This window comes from Homo sapiens, chromosome 11 (assembly GCF_000001405.40).
Source record: "Homo sapiens chromosome 11, GRCh38.p14 Primary Assembly".
NCBI lineage: Eukaryota > Metazoa > Chordata > Mammalia > Primates > Hominidae > Homo > Homo sapiens.
The window spans coordinates 78,660,005-78,675,928 of NC_000011.10; the positions used below are offsets into that span (position 1 = coordinate 78,660,005).

Genomic DNA, 15,924 nt, shown 5'->3' on the forward strand with positions numbered 1-15,924 from the left:
GCTTGCCAAGGGCAGAAATCAATAATTCATTGACAGGCGAGGTTGGCAGACAGGCAGTCAGAGACCGGGGCTCTCTGGAGTGCAGGAGGGAGCCTGGTGAGGGAGGAGGAGCTGTGCTGCAGTGCTCAGCCCTGGGAAGAGCAAATGCCAGGATATCTGGGCGGGGCCTGGAGGTGGTGGGAACTGGAGAGGCTGGGCAGCAGAAAGACGATGGGCTCTGGGGCCAGGCAGACTTGGGTTCTCCATTGAATTCTGCTGCTTTCAAACCCTGGTCCCCTCACCTGTAAAATGGGGAAATGTCTGGGCTGTTTACTTCTTTCAGCCATTTATTTATTTAGCAAAAATGCTTCATGCACCTACTGTGTGCTATCCTGTATGCTGGGTACTAAATGAGACCCAGTACTTACCCTCTTGGGGCTCATAATCTAGTAGCGAGACAAGAAAGAGGCATTAAAGTACAGTGTGGGAAGTGCCACCAGCGTACAGGGGTGCAGAATCCCATTCTCCGGGGTCTGGTAGGAGATAGCTATGCTGAGGCCTAAAGGAATCAATCTGGAGTAAGAAATATGGATATGAAAGTTTCTGACCACCAGCAGCAAGCCATCTGGCAACCTGCTTTCCTCCTTAGTCTGTCATCCCCTGGGCAAGCATCCCTTGAAGGCTTAGTCTCTGCCTGATTCATCCCTGCGTTCACTGGGCACAGCATGGGGCTTGGCACAGAGTTGGGTTCTCATAGAGAATTTATGAATGGATTGGGGTAGTAGGGAGGGGAGAAGCGAGCAAATGAATGCATGAAGTGAGTGGGTGGGATGAGACTGTTTTTAAAGACCTTTCCAGCTATACAATTCTGAGTCTTTGAAATTGGGTTATAAAAGCGAGACAAGAGAAAGTGAGTCTTTTTGAGCACCTACAGTATGCCAGGCACTGTACTCAGCAAGAGGATACAGAACAGGCACATCTGGGTTTGAATCCCAGCTCTACCCCTTCCTTGCCGTGTGGCACTGGGAAAGCCTCAGGCACGAGTCTGTAAAATGAGAACAATACGGCTGTGGGATCTTTGTGAGTTACATAGAATAACTCACATAAGGCCAGGTGCATTGAAGTACTCAGAAAATGTCACATTTTTATTTAGAACCCACCTTCTCTCCCTGTGCTTTTGTTCTGGATAGTGACCAAGGCTTATTATTTTTGTGGAACTCCAAACTCAGTGTAACACACAAAGCTCCTTACTGCAGCTTGTAAGCGTCTGTGTGTGGTCATGGCTGCGTCCCTAGCAGCTTCCTAGTGGTGGGTTACTAAGTAGTTGTTGAACAACCTCTGGCAGGCACTGTGGAGGCACCACATTGGTGTCTATCACTGGCCCATGCTTTTCTGAAAAGCTGAAGGGACCCCCTCCAGTAATGTCTGAGTGGCCTGAGGAGTGGCAGCCTTGTGCAGGAATTACCTTGCTGTTGTCCCACTCCTGCGTTTTCATCTGTGTGTGGATGAGCTCGTAGGAGGGTTCCATGGCATCCATGTCTGGTTTGGGATAACCAGGGATCACGTTGTGTAGCTGGAATCCAAAGGTGAGCAGCCAGCTGTTAACATCTGGATGGGAGGGAAGCAGAAACATCTCCATGGAGTGAGTGGACCTCATTTGCAACCCATCCCCATCTCACAGCCTACAGTTAGCTGCAGGGTGTGGTGAGGGTGTGGATTGCTGCTGGTGGGAGAGTCAACTGCTACATACACTTTTCATTCTATGAAAGCCAAATGTACTCCTGGGACCCAGCAATCCCCATCCCAAGTATATACCCAAGAGTGATGACACTGAAATAGAACCCAGGTTTCCGGACTTCCTTTTCTATTTTCACTTCAACTCCCAGGACCTCTAGCTTCATACCCGGGGCAGCTGTTGACAGATGAAGATCCCTCCCTTTCACCCCAACATCCATAGGAGATACTTACAAAGGACAGCCAGACCCACCAAAAGAAAAGATTTTAATGATTGACTTGCAAAGAGACAATTCACTTAAGAAACACACTCCCCTGCTCTCCCACCCTCCTGTGCAGTAATTAGAGCTTCAGGGTCAAAGTCCCACGGGTTACAGAGATGGCCTAGGCTGCGATCAGAGTCTTCCCTCTGCTTCTACCTTTTATACTCTGACAGCCCAAGGATGCCACAACCTCCCTGTGCCTTCATTTTCTTTCTTTTTTTTTTTTTTTGAGATGGAGTCTTGCTCTGTCACCGAGGCTGGAGTGCAGTGGCGTGATCTTGGCTCACTGCAACCTCTGTCTCCTGGGTTCAAGCAATTCCCTGTGTCAGCCTCCCGAGTAGCTGGGATTATAGGTGCCCGTCACCAGGCCCAGCTAATTTTTGTATTTTTAGTAGAGACGGGGTTTTACCATCTTGGTCAGGCTGGTCTTGAACTCCTGACCTTGTCATCCACCTGCCTCAGCCCCCAGAGTGCTGGGATTACAGGTGTGAGCCACCGTGCCCGGCCACCTTCATTTTCTAGTCTTTACATTGGGCTTGGGGATCAAGTCCCATAGGCATGGGAATAATTGATTTGATAACATTCCTTGGGGTTACTAATTATAAAATATTAGGTGTGGGGATAGATAGGATTTTGCCATGAACATCTGGCTTACTGGAGAATGGAATCAGGAAGCCAAGACATGAGGAAATGAAGAGGACCAGTCACCTGGCCCACTATTGCTGAGTATCTTCTATGTGCCCAGGACTATGCCGTTGAGACCCTCATCTCACATACTCACAACTCTGAAGGAGAGATGAGACATGGGCATGAATAACATTGATACAAGGAAAAAGATTAGAGGAAGGCGGAAGCCTTTCATTTAGACAGGCTGACAAGACCACATGCAGAAGGTGGCATTTAAGCCAGTTACTGAAAGCTGTGCCATTTTTCTCAGGCACTGGTAGAGATGAAGTGGGCCCTTCAGGCAAAGATGACTATACTAGGCAAGGCCTAGAGAGGGAAGGTGTGGGTACAGGGAGTGTTCAGGTAACCAGAGAGCAGCTCAGCAAGGTTGAGAAAGAGCCAGAAAGGATGACTGTGGCCGGAGCAAGAAGAGCTTCAGATGGCAGGGGGAGGTGAACTGGGGCCAGAGGGAGACAGACAGACAGACAGACAGCCTGTGTCCCAGCAGGCTCAGCCTTCCTCAGGAAGGCATAGCTGAAGATGCCAAAGCAGATGTCAATCAGAGACTAAGAATCCAAATTCTTGGGGAGGCAGGATTTTGATTTGAGCCTTAGAGCCAAGGCTGATTATGGCTTCTTTCAAGTGGAGATAGAACCCTGATCGCAGAGGTCCTGTTTAGGTTCTAGGATGATATAGTTTGAATATTTGTCCCCTCCAAATCTCATGGTGAAATTTGATCCCCACTGTTGGAGGTGGCCTAATGGGGGGAGTTTGGGTCATGATGGCAGATCCTTCATGAATGGCTTGGTGACCTCCCGAGGTAATGAGTGAATTCTTGCTCTATTAGTTCATGCAAGAGCTGGCTGTTTAAAAGCGTGTGGCACCCCTCCCTTCTCTCTTGCTACCTCTCTTGCCATGGCCACACTGGCTCCCCTTGCCTTCCGCTACGAGTAAAAGCTTCCTGACACTGAGCAGATGCGGCTGCCATGCTTATAGAGCCTGCAGAACTGTGAGCTTAGTTCCTTATAAATTACCCATGAGCCTCTTTTCCTTATAAATTACCCATGCTCAGGTATTCCTCTAAGGCAGCATAAAACAGACTGAGACATAGGTAGGTTTAGGCAAAATTGTCACCTGCCACCCACTGAGTTCATCCTACTGGTGTGAGTGACTGTGTCCCTGTCACCACTGGGTTCCATGTTACCATCCCATTCAAGAACCTCGTGTTTGCCTTTGTTTTTGTTTTGTTTTCGGGTTGTCTGGGGCCCCCTCTCCCGAGTGTGCAACTTGGTGGTGCTGAGGTGGAGTGGTGGTAGAAAGGGAAATTTGGAGCCCAGTTCTACTTGTTTCAGCCTTACTAGGCAAAATCATAGGAAAGAACATGGTAGCTGAAGCAAGACAAACCCAGTGTCCAAATTCTGGCTCCCCAACTTACAAACTGTGTGAACTCCGACAGTTTACTTAACCTCTTTGAGATTTAGTTTCCTTATCTGCATATTGACAATGGAAATGGTTTTAACCATACTTCTATGGAGAAGAATACAAAGTGTTACCATTTGGTGGCAGTTATCGCGTGGCAGGAGCTATTCTAAGCTTATATATAAATTACTGGATTTAATGTATTTTGATTTTTTTTTGAGATGGGATCTTGCTCTGTCACCCAGGCTGGAGTTGAGTGGCATGGGTTCAAGAGATTCTCCCACCTCAGCCTCCGGAGTAGCCAGGACCACAGGCGTGCCATCATCCCTAGCTAATTTTTTGTAGAGATGGGGTCTCATTGTGTTGCCCAGGCTGGTTTGGAACCCCCAGGCTAAGCAATCTGCCTGTCTTGGCCTTCCAAAGTACTGGGATTACAGATGTGAGCCACTGCACCTGGCAGATTTAATGTGTTTTGAAGAATGCAGCTCAGTACCCACTCACAGAAGATTTTCTCTATTTTCCACCAACCCATGCTTCCACATCCCAGGACCTCCATTTTCTCCTCTCTAACAGAAGGAGCTTGGACTAACTTTTCTTCAAAGTCCCTCTTCTCACTGAGTTTTTAAGAGTCTTTGATTCTATAAATCATGGCAGATGGTTCTTTGGGAAATTAAAACAAACAGAACAGGAGGAAAAAATGCCCTATAAAGCCATTTTGCCTGAGGCTAAGAACTTGCATCTGAATTTGTAGTTGCAAAGGAATGCTTCTATAAGGAATACTGCAAATTCTCAGGAAACTAGGGGGCTGAGAAGAGGGCTGGGCCTTAATTACAAGTGACGGAAGGTGGAAAACTTTCCTATTTTGCCTTTAGGAAAAAATGCTGAAAATGAATTTATTCATAAGTTTTTCTTCAGTGCTCCTCTGAAGAGCTGGGAATTTTACTCTTCCTTCTTACCATATCAGAAGTAGATATTTCCCTCAAGTTAAAAAATTCCTCTTCACTCATCCATCCCAGAGTTTGGTGTTGTCACAGGGGAGTGATGAAATGTAGGCAACAATAATCTCCTTCCTTCCTTCCTTCTTTCTTTTCTTTTCTTTCTTTCTCTTTCTTTTCTTTTCTTTTTCTCTCTTTCTTTTCCTTTTTATTTTCTTTTTCTTTATTTCTTTTCTTTCTCTCTTTCTTTTCTTTTTCTTTTTTTTTCCTCTGTCTCTTTCTTTCCTTTTTTTGACAGGGTCTCACTGTCACCCAGGCTGGAGTGCAGTGGCATGATCTTGACTCACTGCAACCTCCGCATCCCAGGTTGAAGCAATCCTCCTGCCTCAGCCTCCCAAGTAGTTGGGATTACAGGTGTGCGCCACCACGCCCAGCTAAGTTTTGTATTTTTAGCAGAGACGAGATTTCGCCATGTTGGCCAGGGTGGTCTTGAACTCCTGACCTCAAGTGACCTGCCCACCTTGGCCTCCCAAAGTGTTGGGATTGCAGGCATGAGCCACAGCACCCAGCCAATAATCTCTTTCATGTGTGTGGTTTTGTTCTTTACAAAATGTATTTGAATCCAAGAATGAGGGTTTTGGAATCAGAGCAGAGTTCTAATCCAGCCTTGCCACTTCTTAGTGGGCCAGTTACTTTAGCTCTCTGAACCTCAGAACCTCACTTTTCTCCTTTGTAAATGGGGTCAGTGATCCTACCTCACAAGCATCAAGTGAAGATAGAGTGCAATGATGTACATGATATATCTGTAGCGGACATTTTTTGGTTGCCTTCCCAGCAGTCCATTCTGCCTTCTCTTTCCTTTCTGGAGTATTAGTGTAATTATAGGGAAGTTGAATCCACCTAAGGGGTTGGCATGTGACCTAGGCTAAGCCAATCAGTGCATTCTTTCCCTCTAGCCACCAGTAAGTGCTTCAGGGATTGTCCAGTGACCTAAGCCTATCTCACTGGAATACATCTCAGGACCCTTGAAGAAATTTTTGGGAAAAAAAGAATTTTTTTTTTGTTGTTGTTGCTGGATGGGAATGAAGATGCATGTAGTCTACCTGGATGCTAAGAGGTAAGGTTTAGTGAGAAGTAACAGTATCTTGGTTCTTATTCGTGATTGCACATCTTTTTAAATTTGCTAAAAACTGCTTATATGAAATCTCTTCTTTGCACACCATGGGTTTTCAAACTGTAGGATATGACCCACTATGCAATGAAATCAATTTTGTGAATCATGACCAGCATTTTTATTGAAATGGAACAGACTACATTAGAAAATGAGTGCATCACACTTAAGTATTCTTTTGCAAACCTTTTGTCTTCGTGTTTTATTGCAATGTAAAATCTTTTTCTTATGGTGGGTTCCTAGTCAAAGAAATTTGAGAAAAGCTGCCTTGGACCCTGTGATCTATGAAGGTGGGTATTATACCTCACTCCTCTCTGGATCCTTAATACAGGTTTGGCAAGGAGTAAGTATAAATAATATACTCTTTGCTGGATTTAACTGACTGGAATATAGAACCTAAACTGAAAATGTTAGGTGCCCCTTGATGGTTGGTTGCTTTGTTAAAAGCTGGATTTGGAGGCCAGCATGATTGTAGTGGAAGGTGTTCTAGAGTCAGAGAGCCCTGGATTAGAGTCCTAGCTCTGTGGTCTACATCTGTGTGACTCTGGGCAAACCCTTCATTGCAGCCTTGAATGACATTTGGAGTCTCATCTGCAGAAAGGAGATAATGATGGTGATCTCACAGTTGTTGCAAAGTTTAAAGGAGAGCATATCTGCCAAGTGCCAGATAGCATAGAGAGTTAGTCATGTTAGTGCTATTCTGGAAGGAGACCATATGTATATGGTGGTGTACAAAGGAAAAGGGGGAGGGAGTAATATTTTGGAAAGATGCAATGTTTTTTTTGATAGAAAAGTACATTTCCTATTGCACCATGTTTTTTTTCAGCTACAGTAACCTGCCAAGACATCTCACAGGAAACTCATTGGAGAGTGAGGCAGGGGGTGTGCTTAATGCAGACAGATGTAATGGAAATGTCATCTCAATCTGTCAAGTTTCTCTAGAACTAGCAGCCAAGTTGAGCATGGTGAAGGCTGTGAAACATTGTTAGCATATTCATGTTTATCCATAGGCCCCAAGTCTGTTTTCATCACACCTGTCCACCACCTTGTTCTCCCTTCTTCCCTATGCTTGGGATGCTATTCTCCCCTCTTTCCTATGCTTGGGATGCCTGCTCTCAATGTGTGACAACATGGAACTCTTCTTGAAAAAGGAATTCTTCTACTGCTGTCAGCAGAAACAGGGTCCAGGTGGGGGCTACCAAGTTTGGGAGCTGGGAAGCCACGTCTGTAAGGGGCATTCATGTGAGCTGTCATGTTGCCCCTCTACACTTCTGTATTATATGTGCTGCCTTCCCTCTCTGCAATGCCTTTCTCCCCCATTACCTGGTGAACACCAGCTCAGGAGCTGGCCTCAAATGTCAGCTACTTTGTGAAGACTTCCCAGAATGCTCTGGGCAGAGCAGGTGGCTTTTCCTCTGTGCTTCAATGGGCATCTGTGCAAACCTTTGTCATGGTCCTCCCCTCTTGACAGCAGTTGCCTGTCTCTCCCCTTACAGTGAGAATTCCTGGAATGCAGGGATCATTTTTCTCTCCTCAATGCCTGAAACAGTGGCTGCACAGAAGAAGCACTTGTAGAATGAAGGAAACTGCCATAAAAGAGGGCAGGAGAATTGAATCGCACGACAAAAGAGGGGAGAGACTACTGGCTTTGCAAGGTGGGATGTGCCCAATTTTTGCCTATCACAAACTCTCTTATGTAAAAAGTGTGGGCTTTACCCAAACCCCCACCCACTCTCTGTGGGGTTGAGGGCCTCTGTGGCTAACCTGGGACTGGCTGCTTGCTGGGAGGGCTGTGGCTGCTGGAGACATCCCTGCCTGTGGGACCCTGGGACACTTTATACTCAAGTTGGTTTCATGGTAATGGAAGGCAGAGCTCACTTTTCAAGTTAGGGGGTAAAGGAAAGGGAACCAACACGAGCCAGGCACTGCGCTAAGTACCTCATGAAATGTATTTCACTTCACCCTTGCAACCACCCTACCAGGTAGGTGTTAGTTTCTATTGTTGCATGTGTTCCTTATTCTTTTTTTTCCCTCTTTTCCTGCCCTCTTTGGATTATTTTCTTGTCTTCCATTTTATCTCCACTGTTGACTTATTAGCTAGGACTCTTTTTTTAGTTTTTATCTTTTTAGTGGTTTCTCTAGGGTTTATAATACACATATTTAATTATAGGTAGATGTTCTAACTTCAATTTACGTATCAGGAAACTGGAATTCAGGGCAGTTAAATAATTTTTGTAACATGTCATGGCTTCAAACTGGTGGATCCTTCACTCCATTCTTACATTATCCCAAATTGAGAACTAATTTTTTTTTAAAGCCATACCTTAACCCAATCAAGGACTCATTAGCAGTTTGATTTGTGTGTCAGAAACTCCTAAAGTGCAATCCATGGGATGTATCCCATGAGATATTAGGATTTCATGGTGAAAAAAGGGCTTTTACGGTCAAATAAGTTTGAGAAATAGTGGGCAAATATATTAAATAGTTCACTTTTATAGCACTTCCCAGAGCTTATCATACACTGAAATGTACTATGAAAATGTAATAATGGTGGTGACCCTGACAAATTTATTTGATGCTGGAACCATTTTTCCAGAGTATTTTCTGAACTAGTGTTTCTTCAAACGGACTTTGGAAAATGCTGCTCTAAGAGAAAGTCAGTGTTTCCTGTCACCTTATGCCAGCTTTCTCAAAGAAGACTAAGTATTGTTAGGTAGTAAGAGCACTTTATGGGGTCCTGCCCCTGAGTGAGCCGTGGTCCTTACCTGTCATGAAGCACTTGATGTCCTGGGAGTTGCTGATGGGGTTGTTGTTTTTGAACATATAGAGATTAAAAGGCATGACGTTGCTGCTACTAAGGTGCTTCCACAGCTCGTGGTCTGGGCTAGTCCAGCGTCCGGCCAGCACATCATAATCTCGCCGGCCCATGTGGACAAGCTTGGTGAGTGGATCATAGAGGCCACCATGGTAGCCTATGATGATCTGAAAGTTGGGGTTGGTATCCATGTAGATCTCCCCATAGGCTGTGTACAGGATTTGCTTGATCATCAAACCTGTTCCACTAAAGACAGCAAGAGGGGTCCCGATGTTGTCACAAGCTATGTAAAACTCATCACCACTGCTCAGCTCCATGGCAAAGAGGTGTCCTTGCAAGTCGTAGTAGAGGGAGGTGATCTCAGAGCTGGAGTGGTTGTACAGGTGGGTGACCTTGGTGGGGTTGGTCAGGTCTGCATAGAAGAACTGCAGGTGGTGGCTGTGGCTGCTCTTGCTGGACACGCGCCGCCCCAGGCCATCGTAGCGGTACCTGACACTCCAGCTGCCAGCCCGGTTGTAGGCCTTGATGAGCAGGCCAGCTGAGTTGTACTCAAAGATATCACCGCCCCGCTGCCTCAGGAAGCCATCCTCATCCATCTTGTATTGCACGTCACCCAGCCGAGTGATGCGGTCGCGGATGTCATACCGTAGTGGTGTGAGCCGTGCACTGTTCCCAGGGCTCAGTAAGTGCAGGTTCCCATTGAGGTCGTAGCTGTAGCGCCAGAGTGGCTTGTCATTGATGGAGACTGTCTGCAGCTGGCCGTCAGCATCATACTCATAGGAGTAGCGAGTGGTATTGGCGTAGGGTCCTACCTTCAGCTCCTTCTTCACTACTCGCCCCATGTTATCATACTGGACGGTCATCCAGTACATGAGCGAGCGGAAGATCTCATACTGCACTTCCTTCATCCTGCCATATGCATCAAAATGCTTGGTGTGGGTCATGACAGCTGTGGTGATGATCTGGTTAATGTCATAGTAAATGACACCAAACTTCCCAAACTGCTCTGTCTTGCCTGACACATCATCATAGCGATAGAGATCAATGGGCAGTGGGGTCTCGTTGATCACAGCCTGCATGCTGGTCACCCGGAAGCTGTTGTCATAGTTGTAGTCAAAACGGGCGTTGACCATGCCTTCCTCAGTGAAGCGGAAGATCTGTCGGTCAATCAGGGGCCCAATCTGACGGTAGCGGATGGTGCAGGTGAAGCCCTCATTCTGTAGGTTGATGGTCTTCAGCATGCCTGCCGTCTCGTCATAGGTGAAACTGACCTTGGTGGTGTCATAGAGCGTCTCTGCCAGCTTTGACAGTTTGCCATACTTGTATATCACCCTGCGGCCAGTGCCCAGGTAGAAGGTGTGAAGGAGGTGCCCATCCTCAGTGAAGTCCTGTATGACTGAGGCATTGCCCTCAGGGGGCTGATAGATGTTTCTGTAGTAGCCCACTGAGCGGATGGTCTCTAGTGTCTGCCGCGCCACGTTGGGCATCGTCACAGAAGAGAGGCGGTCATTCTTGTCGAACTCAAAGATATACTGCCTCTGGCTGTGTAGTAGCAGCACCATGGACTGGAGGGAGAGGAAAACCAAGAGATGAGAGGAGGGTGGTGAGGAGAAAGGGTAGGTCTACATACCCGAGACTTAAAGGGACGGAATGAATGTCCAAGGAGAATCCTGAGTTTCCATGGTTCTCTTGAGTTATGCTCCAACCAGAGCTCTCCAACAGGAGTGTCACGGGATACTGCAAATAGGTTACAGATGTGCCAAGATGAGGCTTTCTCTCAGCCTCATCTTAGCACAGCTTTAACCTTAGCACACCTGTAACCTACCTGGGGCCTAGGCCTCCAGGTACTCAGGCCATTTGCTGTCCTATGGTGAGCAGCCTCGTGGGTTTGCCCCTTTGTGCAGGACAGACCTGGTTACTTTTGTGCGTGGTGGGGTGTGAGAACGGCCAAGAAGCTTTGGCCTGAAGTATGTACAGCAGTCTGGCTTCCTTGCCCCAGACTTCTCAAACCAATCTTCCTATTCAGGCAAGAGTGAGCTCCTCCAAACACAGTCTCACAATTTCTTTTACCTGCTAAACAGTTTCCGCTGACTCCCTGTGGCTTACAGCACGAAGACCATATTTGAGAAGGGCATTTAAGGCTTTGCACAATGACAGGTCATAAGCCTACTCTGGGATAGGGCAGACTGTGATGGGAATGGGAGAACCTGGTTTCTAACAATAGTCTCCTTGTGTGGCCCTGGGAAAGTTCTTCCCCTCTCTGGGTTTGGGTTTTCAGTATGTTGGATGACCTCCAAGGTCTCTCTCTCTCTTAGTACTAGCGCAAAATGTCACTTTTGGGGGTACTCACCCAGTGGGTAGAGGAGACCCACCTCAGAGCAAGCACAGCCTATGCCCTGGACAGGTCACCAGGGTCAGGAAACAAAGCAGGGATCTGGATACTTGAAATGGGGCATGCAGTGCACTTGTTCTCAGGAAAAGATCAGCAGATAAAAGGCCTAGAGGCTTTATGCTGCAAAGCTACCATTTTTTCCTATTTGAGACCAACTTTTGATTTTAGGTCATTTCTGATTCTTACCCCTGGGATGACATGAGTTCTGATGCTAGAGCAGAATAGATTTACTAAGGCCATGCCCAGCACTTGAAGCTCAGGAGTAAGTGCCTCCTGCCTATGTACTGATGCCTAGGCTTCTGCCTGGTTCTCCACAACTGGATTGTACCACATGCCCTAGACCTGGGAGCAGACCCTTGGCCTGGGTCTGAACCCCGAGTCCTGCTCTGCAAATCCAGTGAGTATTTGGGCCTCTACTCTATCAGGCAGGTCTTTCATGTTCTCCTGCCCTAGGACCACCACCTGCCATGCTATCTCCCTGATCCATCCTGATGCCTCTTGGGACCCCATGCCCTCTGTGGCAGACTTTCCTGAACATTTCCTTTTGGTGACATGGGTCAGATACAGCCCACTGAGGCCACCAGGCTGGGCTTGGCCGTGAATGATTGGCCTTCTGTATGGCAAGGCCAGTGATGCAGGGAGACAGACACCTGCCTTCTCTAAGTATGTGTAGCTCCATGTCTTCCCATCAGCGAAGATCCTGGATGTGATGCGGCCCGCCTGGTCGTATTCCATTCTTTCAGACATGATGCCCCTCTGGATGCCAGCAATGTAACCCCCAGGGGAGTATGTCACGTTGACACCATTCAGCCTGCTGCTGGGTGACCAGAGGCTGGGCCGCCCCGCCTGGTCGTACAGAATCCGAAGGGTGAACTTGCGGTGGTCATCATAGATCTTCTCTGTGCGTGTTACGCGATCAAAGTCCAGAGATAGGAGATTTCGGTTGTGAACCTGGAGAAAGGGTTGGAAGGAAAGAGAAAATTAATCTGGACCATGAGAACTTTGGTCTGATGGGCCACGTTGCTCTCAGCTCTGCTGGGAAGCTCTTGAGTAGAGGAGGGAGCACAGTCCTGCGCAGCAACAGACATGGGTTTGAATCCTGGCTCTGTCATTTGTCAGCTCTGTGAAGTTTCCTCACCTGTAAAATGGGGACAATAATGCCAATTGCACAGGGTTGTTGTGAGGATGAAGATGATCCCTATGTTGAGAAATCAGTAGCTGTGACCAAAGAGGATCTGCATGTTTTCTAATGTGATTCTTCTAATGAGGACACGTTTTAAAAGGCAGATCCTTCTTGACTCCCTGCTGAAAGGAGACCCACCAAGTGAGCCCAGAAAATAAACTGACCCATCTCTTCCACACCAGACACTGCGGAGACCAAAGCTCAGGGAGGTGAAGGGATTTACCCTGGATCTCGTGGCTGGTGAGTGACGGAGTCTGGACTTGACTCTCACACATACAACGTGCCCCCAAACACTCAGTGGCCCTCTGAGCAATTCGTGGCCTTCTGGGGGCTCTGAACTTCCCAGCCCCTGTCGGGTGTCTCCTGCTTGCCACTACAATCAGGGCTTCTTGATTGCCACAGTCAGTACCCAAGACATATTCTTCCCAGAGGTGCTGGGAGGCAGTGAGTGTTTGTCACTGGGATGGCTTTTCTGCCTGTGGGCCGAATGGGGACACAGTCCTGGCTTTGAGGCACTTTGCTCCTGCCTTCAGGATCGGGAGTGCCTTGTATAAACTCCACCTGGACTGCTAGGCCAGCACACAGTTCAATTTCCTTTCAGAGTCAGAAAGACAGGGCTCCTACAGACGTAGTGGTAGGTTAGGGTTTTTATATTTTAATAAAGAAATATACTTCAGGGGCCTGTTTCTGTATTTGGATCTGCCCTGTAGGCATTGGTGGCCCCTGAAATATTGCCAGGTATTCTGGAACTAAAATACTGGTTTCCGCTAATTGGTGTCTGGCCTTATGGGACATTTGGGCACATTTTCTGTCTCTTCCACTAGTCATTGCTTAAGGTTGACAAGTAATACAGAAGACCCAAGAGGAAAGCAGATAATTAGGTCACGTGATGCAAAATGGCATGTGTGGACCGAGGCAATGAAAGGCCCTCTGGATCCCTGTGTGGTTAAAAAAAAATGGGTGCAGGTCTAGGAATGAAGGCCAGGATTCTAGCTGCAACTTTGTGACCAACTTTTCTATCAACCTTGGGCAAGTGCCTTCCCCTATCCGAGTCTCAGTTTCTTACTCTGTATAACAAGAGTTGTTGTGAAGGTTGAAGAAACTTAGTAAATCAGTGGAGTGCTAGGCACATAGAAGGTACTGAATAGATGGTTGGAATTATTTCCATTAAATGACAGCAAACGATCGTGGTCATATCCCAGGAAGGAGAGATGTGTGTGTTTCCTCCTTCTCCCACACAAATTCTAAGGCCTTGAAAATAACGATTTATAATGACGATGCTGACTTTAGCTGTGAATGACCTGGTTATAATAAGGTTACCTTCTCTGGGGTAATCAAACACAATTGCAGATGCAAAAACAGTGTGGCAGATGATTCCCATGAAAAATCAGAGGCATTGGAGGCTGAAGCTGTGTTATTTGCAGACAGGGCACAGGAAGATACAGGGGCTGTGCCACCAACAATGACAGAGGCCTTTTTAAAGTATCTTTTGGAAGGTCCCGCTGTGACTCCCCTCAGGGTGGTGCCACCCAGCCAGCTGTCCCCCTTTCTCCCTGGAGGATCTCTAGTGAAGGGGAGCTGTACCTTTTTGGCAAAATTAATAAAATTAAACAGCTCACTGGGGAGCCGCCTAATGCGTCCTGTGCTCGGCAGTGGCGGCAATGAGATTATTTCACCTCTTTATTAAAAAAGTTCCCAGTTGTATAAAAAATGAACTCCATTATGGGGAGGCACACCCGGCTAACATTCTAATTCCACCTGCCACCACTGTGGGTGGCCATTTATTTGGGAGGACATGTAGACGTGGCCACCCGTCCCAATCTCAGGTTGGGAGAGGGACCAATTAAAGCCTGGGAAACTTTTGGTCCAGTTCACACAGCAGAGAGGAAATCCTAATCATGCTAATCGCTGCCATTTATTGAGCACCTGGAGTCTACCTGTGCTGGGCTAGGTGCGTTGATTGTATCATCTTGTTTCTGCAGAGGCACCTGAGGCTCAGAGGAGCTGCTCAAGGCTCCACATGGCACAGGCAGGAATCAAACCCAGGTCAAACTTCCCATTGAGGACACTGCCTCAGAGGCGCATGCAGGAGTCTGCGAATTCAGACGGGGGAGCTCAGTGAGGCCACAGAGAACAAAGACAGCTAGGCCTTCCTCGGGGAGCTAGTGCAAGGCTGTTTCCCACAGTAGATAGTCACTAGAGCTCTTGGCTGTTGAGGGAACAAACGAAGCCTGGTTTTCTGGGTTCCAGTTGTGTGATATTGGATAAGTCACTTACTGTTTCTGTAGCTGCTGTGGGCCTATTTTCTAGTTTTTTTTTTTTGAGACAGAGTCTTACTCTGTCGCCCAGGCTGGAGTGCAGCGGCGCGATCTCGGCTCATTGCAACCTCTGCCTCCCAGGTTCAAGCAATTATCCTGCCTCAGCCTCCTGAGTAGCTAGGATTACTGGTGTCCCCCATCATACCCAGCTAATTTTTTGTATTTTTAGTAGAGATGAAGTTTCACCGTGTTGGCCAGGCTGGTCTCGAACTCCTGACCTCAAGCAATCCACCTGCCTCAGCCTCCCAAAGTGCTGGGATTACAGGTATGAGCTGCTGTGCCTGGCCTATTTTCTAGTCTTTACCACCACCTCGCTATGAGACTCTGGAAAAATCGTTTACCCTCTCTGGATCTCGATTGTCTCATGTGTAAAAGAGGGGCTTCAGTGAACTTTCTTTGCTGAAGGGCAGGGGACTTAAGAGAGTCTGAGCTGTGTTGCTATGAGGATGCTTCTGGAATGTTAGGAACATGTAGCTCAGTTCTGTAGTTTGTTTCATCTCAGCAGGTATCTCCTGAGCACCCATGGTGTGCAAGGTGCTGTGCTGAAAGCCATGGCTAGTTCATTAACTTTCCCTCTGTTCATCACCTGCCTTTCTCAAGGTGGAGGAAAAAGAAGCTGGGCACTCAGGCCCTGGCAGAGGCTGTACTCTACAGAAACACAGGATGTGAGGCAGACAAGGAGCTGGCTCAGGGCATCCACATATTCAAAAGCACTCTGAATGTCAGACCATGATGCCAGCCCCAGCAGTGATGGCTCGGGTGAGGTCATTTTGGAGAATGTAGCTTAGGTTCTAAGTAGCTGAGCTGAATTTTGGGACATGCTAGCAATAGTAATAGCAATAATGGTAATAAATCATAACAATAACAATAAGAGTAGCTATTATTGACCACTTGCTATGAGCCAGACTCTAAGATGCTTAATATATTACTTCTAATCCTTGTAGCAACTTGTAAAATTGGCCTTGTCCTTCCCATTTTATAGATGATGAAATTGAGGCTCTAAGATTACTGATCTGTCCAAGCTCACTCAGGGAATAATATAAGCTGGA

General features: G+C 47.2%; 1 protein-coding gene across 10 annotated transcripts in view; it reads right to left on the reverse strand.

Annotated features, from left to right (window-relative positions):
- Positions 1-15,924, reverse strand: part of TENM4 (teneurin transmembrane protein 4) — a 788,202-nt gene that overhangs the window by 7,176 nt on the left and 765,102 nt on the right. For all 10 annotated transcript variants that reach the window (XM_047426739.1, XM_047426737.1, XM_047426736.1 and 7 more), the window contains 3 exons: positions 12,029-12,325; positions 8,933-10,547; positions 1,445-1,587 (listed from right to left, as the gene is read on the reverse strand). In XM_047426739.1, coding sequence (XP_047282695.1) covers positions 1,445-1,587; positions 8,933-10,547; positions 12,029-12,325 — 2,055 coding nt within the window. The remainder of the gene's footprint in view (positions 1-1,444; positions 1,588-8,932; positions 10,548-12,028; positions 12,326-15,924) is intronic.